Here is a 7,717-nt window from a genome sequence, read left to right as displayed (position 1 = left end):
CTCTGGCCTGCAAGAGATAACCAAACCTCAAAATATATGGAAACAATGTTTTAGACAAGCTTCTTTCCATTGTCATATTCCTGGCCATGTGTGGCTTTGAAATGACTCTAGAAGTTTTGGCCAAATATTCACACACCTAGAGCTTTGTAGGGAGCTCTATTCAATAGTATGTTTTTCTGATGGTCTAATCAACAACAACGACAAAGATAATTTCAGAAAATCAGTGCTCTGATGAGCATATAAAGGGTGATGTTACAGAGGGTACCAGGGCAAGGTAAGGTTAGGGATGCTATAGATAATGGTCAAGAAAGGTTTATTTGATTTATCAGCTCTCGTGAGACTTGGGCCTCTTCCTAGGCTGGCATTTAGGAAGGAGAAGGCCATGTTCAGTTCAAGCACCAAGATCATGAAGCCCAATGGTGAGAAGCCAGACAAGTTCAAGTCCAGCATCTCCAGGGTCTTCTGGAGCTGAAGATGAACTTGGATCTCAAGGCTCAGCTCAGGGAGCTGAAAATAACAGCAGTCAAGAAACCTGAAGTTGATGGTGGTCAGGAAGCTTATTATAATCATTGTTCCCATTCCTCAGCTGAGTTCTTTCCAGAAAATTCAAGTCCAGATAGTACATGAATTGGAGAAAAAGTTCGGTGGGAAGCATGCTGTATTTATTGCTCAGAGGAGAACTCTGCCTATGCCGACTTGAAAAAAATGATACAAAAAATAAGCAAAAGTATCCCAGGATCTGCACCCTAACAGCCACACATGATGCAATCCTTGAAGACTTGGTCTGCCCAAGTGAAATTGGGAGCAAAAGAATCTGTGTGAAACCGGCTAGCATTCAGCTCAGGAAAGTTCATCGGGACAAAGCACAGCAGAACCACGTGGGGCACAAGGTTGAAACTTTTTCTGGTGTCTACAAAGATCTCCTGGGCAAAGGTGTTAATTGTGAATTTCCAGAGTTTCCACTATAAACAAAAATGACTAAAGTATATTCGCATTTAGAAGAAGAAAGGTTTATCTGAAGAAAGGACATTTGAGCAAATCTGCAGAATGAGACAGACCTAAACACGTGAAGAACTCTCCATGCAGAGGGAGCTGCCAGTGCTGAAGGCCTGAGACAGGGAAGGGCCAGTGCTCATGAACAGGGGGAGGGTGGTTTGAGACCAGGATGCAGGTAAGCTGGGCCAGATCTTATAAATCCCCGTAGGCCACAGTAAGATGTTTGCACCTCATTCCCAGTGCAGTGGGAAGCTGCTGAACTCTAAGTGATGTGGCCTTATTCACAGAATGCCAGCTACAGAGTGGAAAATGTACAGAAAGATGCAAGGCCAGGTAGGCACAGAGAAATCAGTGAAGAGGGCCACGCAGTAGTCCCAGAAACAGAGATGGTTTGGACCAGAGTAGTATCCACGGAAACGAAGAGGCAGTCGTGCTCTGCCGGATAATGACCACCATCAGCACCCACTGAGGAAAGACAAAGGCTGTCTACCCCTTCTCCACCAGGAAGGGAGTAATGGCTGCCCCTCCAGCATCTCCAACAGGTGCAATTCAGGTCAGCATGGAGGAGGCCCACTCCCCACTGAGGCAGCCCATCTAGGGACAACATGGGGCTTTTCCATTTAGCCAAAAACCAAATGCCAGCAATTATTCATATTCTAATCATCTACCTTATTGATGTGCAACCCACTCAAGAGTGGTCAAGTAGTAGTAACCAATATAATACTGATTTCTTCCACCAAGGAGCAGATGCAGTCATTCACTGATATTTCATGGGGTGGTGGCACGTGGACTGTCATGGAAGCCTGGGTTCTGCTCAAACAGGTCTGTTTTCAGTCCCATCTTAATCAGACAGTTGCCCTTGCTGAGAGAGAATCTCCCCCATCACCCTGTGGAGTAAAGAAGGCACTATCCCCAGAATCTAGCAGCAGAATTGGCTGGTGGGTGGACAAAGAAAGCAGGCATGTTCAGAGCCACACCAAGGAGCAAGGCAGTGGTCGTGAGGCCAGCTCATGAGTGAGTGTGTGAGCAGAAAGGGCCTCCCTCCAAAGCCGGAACGTGGGCAAGAACATGAACTCTGGGTGAAATGACACAGAGTCAGAGGATCTTCCGTAAATCATAAAGACCCACAGGCAGCAAAGGTCCAGACCAGTGTGCTCACCACAGGCCAAGAGCCACAGGGATGACACACTGCAACTTGGATAACCTGAAAACAGAAGTCCTACTGGACCTGAGGGAACACTGCTCAGTCAGCCACGCCTGTCTGATGGTTTTCCCCCTGCCTGGGTGAGCAAGAATTAGAGGCTGGCTTCAGATCTCCTCCAGCCTTCCCTATCAATTGCCATGAAAATGTAAAGGAAATAGCAGCTGCTATTCCTCTCAAGGTATGCAGACTTCTAACACCAGAAGATATAAAAATAAGGTTGCCCTTTCGGGTTAAGCCACCACACACACTATAACAGGCCATGTGGGAACGAACCAGGCAAATTTGATCAGAGAATATGCAAACCGCCAAACTCTCCCCAAGGTGCCCTGCGTACAGCCTCAAGGAGAAGCAGCAGTGATTGTAGTTTCCTGAGCAGAAACCGAGTGGTTTGCGTTGTTCCCACTTTGGAGAAGTCCTATGAGCAGGAGGGGATGAAAACTCAGTGCATTCACGATAAAAGGTGGACACGGTAAGCACCCAGGCCAGCCCAGGGGAAGGCTGTCTTGACCCCCTACACTCACACCCTCCCCGGCGGAGTCGCATCCCCCGTGAGGTGGTGATGAGGGCCTGTGGCTCACTTAGTCAAATGCCATGTCTCACCTCGGGGTAATTCAGGACTTCCCAAGAAATGATGAAGGCAGTGTCTTCACACAGTGTTCAAGTGTACCACCTAGAAAAAGAGAAACAGGCATCATAAACAGTGGTGAAAAGAAACCTGTAAGCCTGCAGCGATTTAGAGATCCACTGTCAGCAGTTGCTGAGGAAGAGAATCAGTCTTCTATGAGGAGCTCCGCTGGTACCTGCTGCCTATCAAGGGTCTGGGAATCACATCGGGAGAATCCTCTGTACCCAGGGCTCTGTTGTCCATCTCAGGTGTAATTTTGAGCAATGACATTGTAGGGAGGAAATATGACAACGGCCCCACAGTGGCTAATTTATCACGCAGCATGACCTACTGACAGTTTCAGCCGTGTGAAATCTATGGCAAAACATAGCCAAAGCAGAGGTTTTTTAATGTAACATTAATCACGTGGAACATTTCTGAAAAGAGCTAAAAGAAATGACTAGCATAGACAAGTCTTTTGAAGCTGGTGGGTTCAAGGAATGAGTAGACTGTCACTGCACTGGGATCTATGGAAATTCAGACATTCAGAGGAAAGAAACTTTTCAACTCCAATGTGGAATGAGACGCCTGTCATTCCAAAACCACCTCCCAGCGCCAAGGACTTACAATACCCTCTCCTGTTTATTCCCTCTGGCCGCTCTCTCTCCACGACTATAAGCTCTTTGAAGAAAGCTTCTTGTTTTATTCATTCTTTCCAGCTTCTAGAGCAAGTGCTTGATAAACGCTTGCTAACTTGAAGCAGATTCTGGTAATAAAACTGCTCTAACTTCATCCACAGGAACTTCCAGGCCTCTTCCTGATAGCCCTTAATGGTTCCAGGAGGAGCTGCAACCTCTTCAACCGTGTGAAGAGGGAGCAGCTAGAAAACCCTGAACTTATTGCAGAGGACGGTGTCGCTGGAGGAGCCCAGCTCTGAGCCAGGTGCGACGCAGGGGGCAGCAGAACATACCAAGTCGACTAAGCACGTAGCAAGTCGACTCTAATCCTGGTCAGCCACCCACATGGCTCACCACCCACATGGCTAAGCTATGTTGTTTCACGATGCAACACCTCAGTGTCTCTGTCTCTCAAATGGGTAGATAAAAAGCTCATTCCTTCCAGAAAAAGGTCTGCCAAAGACAGCAACATATAGGATTCCAAGCACTACACAGAAGATAAAACACAGGTTTTGCTCTTGGCCCTACGTTTTTTGGCAAGACAACTGGTCTCTGGCACACTATTTTCTCCTGAGAAAAGAGAGGGTCTTTTCCTCTTCTACTCCTCTATAAATCCATAGATATGGAAAACATACCTATTTTTAGGTGATATCTTGTGTATTTTTTAAGTTGTTTTACGCACATTATAGAAACCCTTCCCATTTAACACCTTAAAAAATAACTGGGTTTGCAAAATTTCCTGATGAAATGTGTATAATTAAATGCACTTGTGAACACTGTGATTACGGTACTGAGGCAAGATGATTTCCCCACTATTTCAATAACAGTTGGAAATAATTAAGTACTTCCTACAACATGGAAATGTACAGTTTTATATCTCAAAATGCTAGTACTTTAACAGATTCAAACAGTTGTTGCCCCTTGGAGCTTACTACATATGTTAAAGTATTATTCTTCTGATTATCATGCCATGATTATAATGTATTCCATTTAGCACTGTAGATTGTATTTGCTGAGCAGTTCTAGATAATTTTTTACTCATCCAGTCAGTGGTTCTTATACAGCACCTGAGCAAAAAGTTAAAGACAAAATGTAAGCTTTTCATCTAAATAGACTTTATTTTCAATACTTAAAGCTAAGCCTCATTCTGCCTGAACAGAGCTGGCATGGCTTAATTCCTTTTGTCACAATCTCCCTGGATAATAATTCCTTAATTGCTTCTTAGATGGAAATATTAATCATGGGGCGGCCTTTAATAAGACCAAAATTATGGTGTTTCTTATCTCCAAAGGTTAATGGGAAAAAAATGATTCTTCTCTTCCTTTCTTCTCTGTCCTGATACACAGATTGTGTGGCACTAATCAGTTTTCCCCTTTAAATTATATTTAAGCTAATGTGTCATTTATCCTCAGAGATTCTGAGTTCCTTGAGGAAGGAAATTGTGTCTGATTTATGTGTGAATTTGCCACAGAATCTAGATCCAATAACTGACACAACCCGATTGCATACAAACACAACTGATTTATGTCAACTTGGGAGATCGCCTTGACAATTTTGTCACTGCACCTGCCTGATTGTGTGATGGTTGTTCATTTGCCTGGCTGTTCAATAGACTGGTTTGAAGGAGAGGGTGGCTTAAGAGTTAATTATTCTCTAATAGTAATTAAACCTCAACCTTGTGATTGATTCTGTGCTCAGCACTGTTTCCTGCCCTCCCTCAACTTACAATATGTTGGGAGAAGCTACATTATTAAAAAGATAAATTAACAAAACAAACTACAAAGCACTGTAACAGTAGAAACAGTATGTCTCTCCTACGGATCCTGCCCAAAGTGGCCCTCTTAATTTGACAAGTGTGTGGAGAGTTTACATTCATTGTGCCAGTGTAACGGTATAAGAAACCCCTTTGTAGCACTATTCAATCTGTAGATGCTTAAGACCTCTGGTGTAAAAAATTGTTCTCAGAGGAGAAGAGAAAATCAATTTGCATAAATGAGGGGTCAACTGGTCTCCCAACCTTGGAAAGTGAGGCAAGTGCCATACACGCAGAACCACTTCCAGGGTTCTGGGGGTAAACATGGCAAGTAGAAGTTTGCTTTGCTCTTAAGTTTGCTGAAGATATAGGGCAGGATTTTTGCAGTATATGTTGCAGGGACTTCACTGAAACACAAGAAACAGCTTGGGATAAGCTGATTTAGAGAACTATCTAGATGAGACGATCAATGTGGGCTGCAGGGCAGGGAATAGGCCCTATATTACAAAAGTGTAAGATCAAGATAGACGAATAAGCAGCTAAAAAGAAAACAAAAACCAGCCAAGAGACAGACAGTGTGCATGTGTGGGTGGGTGGGTGTATGGGTGTTAAAATTTAAGATTCAACAAATATAGAAAGGAAGGAAATTGCCAACATTTTGTGTTGGTTATAAATTTGGAAAACATAATAACTTTGAGTTTCTCCTTAAATCATATTTTAAATAAACTCTAAATGTATTACAGAGCTACAAATTAAGATATTAAATTCCAATTATAGAAAAAGAAGACTGTAAAATTGAATATCAAGTATGTAAATTTCTTGTATGTAATAGAAAAAAATCACAAAGAATAGATCATCAGATTTAATTATATACAATTAAAGTTTTTGCATAGCTAAAGAAACCAAAATAAAAAGGCAGATGAGAAAAGAAATGCTTCTGTAAATATACCTTCAGAGAAAAAGAGGAGGTAATGATTTTATTCTGTGAGGAACAAAGGAACTTCAATTTAAAAAGAAAAACAAAGAGCAGATGAATAAGGAAACTATTCTCAAAAAATGAAAGATTATCATTATTATATTATTCTAATATTATTAAATAACATTTAACAATGATTACTGCCTGGAATTATGCTAAATGTTGCATATATATTACTCTGAGTCTTTCTTGCAAAAACTACCTGATAATGGATTCAGTTCCCAACAAATGATCAAAATTAAAAACCAGATATGAAAAGTTGTGATAAAAGATTAGTGGTGATTAATCTATTTAAATATGGAACTAAAATTAAACAATTGTGGAATTTAAACTAGAATGTGCAGGTCAGCACTGTGACTCACACCTGTAATCCCAGCACTTTGGGAGGCCGAGGCAGGCAGATCGCTTGAGGTCAGGAGTTCAAGACCAGCCTAACCAACATGGCGAAACCCCATCTCTACTAAAAATACAAAAATTAGCTGGGCGTGTTGACACAAGTCTGTAATCCCAGCAATTTGGAAGGCCTTCAAGGCGGGCAAATCACTTGAGGCCAGGAGTTTGAGACCAACTTGGCCAATATGGTGAAACTCCATCTCTACTAAAAATACAAAAATTAGTTGGGCGTGTTGGCACAAACCTGTAATCCCAGCACTTTGGGAGTCCAAGGTGGGCAGATCACTTTAGCCAGGAGTTTGAGACCAGCCTAGCTAATATGGTGAAACCACATCTCCACTAAAAATACGAAAATTAGCTGGATGTGGTGGCACACGCCTGTAATCCCAGCTACTCAAGAGGCTGAGGCAGGAGAATTGTTTGAACTTAGGAGGTGGAGGTTGTAGTGAGCCAATAGCACGCCACTGCACTCCAACCTGGGTGGCAGAGCGAGACTCTGTCTCAAAAAAAAAAAAAAAAAAAAAGTTGCAGTGATCAGACCCAACACCAGGTCGTCGGGGTGACGAAGTCCGGCAGAGTCGAAGAAATGAGAAAGAAGATAGTTTGAGAGAGAAAATGGGACCAGGGAGCCATCGAGAGCGTGGAGGCTGCGAAAGGCCCCGAACTCTGGGAGCCCACACTATTTATTGGTGTTCAAACAAAGAAACAGGTGGTGAGGATGTGGGGGTTGAAAGGAAAAAGTGTATCAAGTGAATGAGAAACATATGGCTACTTGAGATAATTGGAGTGCCAGAAGCAAGGAGCCAGCAAGTCTAGCAGACATGCAAGCCCTGCCTCAGATTCTCTCCGAACACTCAGCTTTTCTCCCAACAACAAAAAAAAGATAGCAATTGAGGAATAGACCTCCATTTCTCTCTATTTCTATGAGTCACAGAATAGGATGCTCTCACAGGCAGCAAGCTGTCAGCAAGCTTTCTGAGGAAAGGTCTTAAAACAAAGGATACATAGGATATGGGGAAGTGTTACGTAAAACTGGAATTTTATATTACTAAAGTGACTAAAATAAATCCAGTTGTTGGAGAAAAGAAATAGGAGGTGAAGGGGAGGAGTAGGA

The 7,717-nt window shown here is 42.7% G+C and overlaps 1 pseudogene; it reads left to right on the top strand.

The window, feature by feature from the left end:
* Window positions 317-983, top strand: RPS7P9 (ribosomal protein S7 pseudogene 9; annotated as a pseudogene).

This window comes from Homo sapiens, chromosome 10 (assembly GCF_000001405.40).
Source record: "Homo sapiens chromosome 10, GRCh38.p14 Primary Assembly".
NCBI lineage: Eukaryota > Metazoa > Chordata > Mammalia > Primates > Hominidae > Homo > Homo sapiens.
The sequence above is the reverse complement of the archived record's forward strand: the minus strand, read 5'-3'. Positions and strand labels throughout refer to the sequence as shown.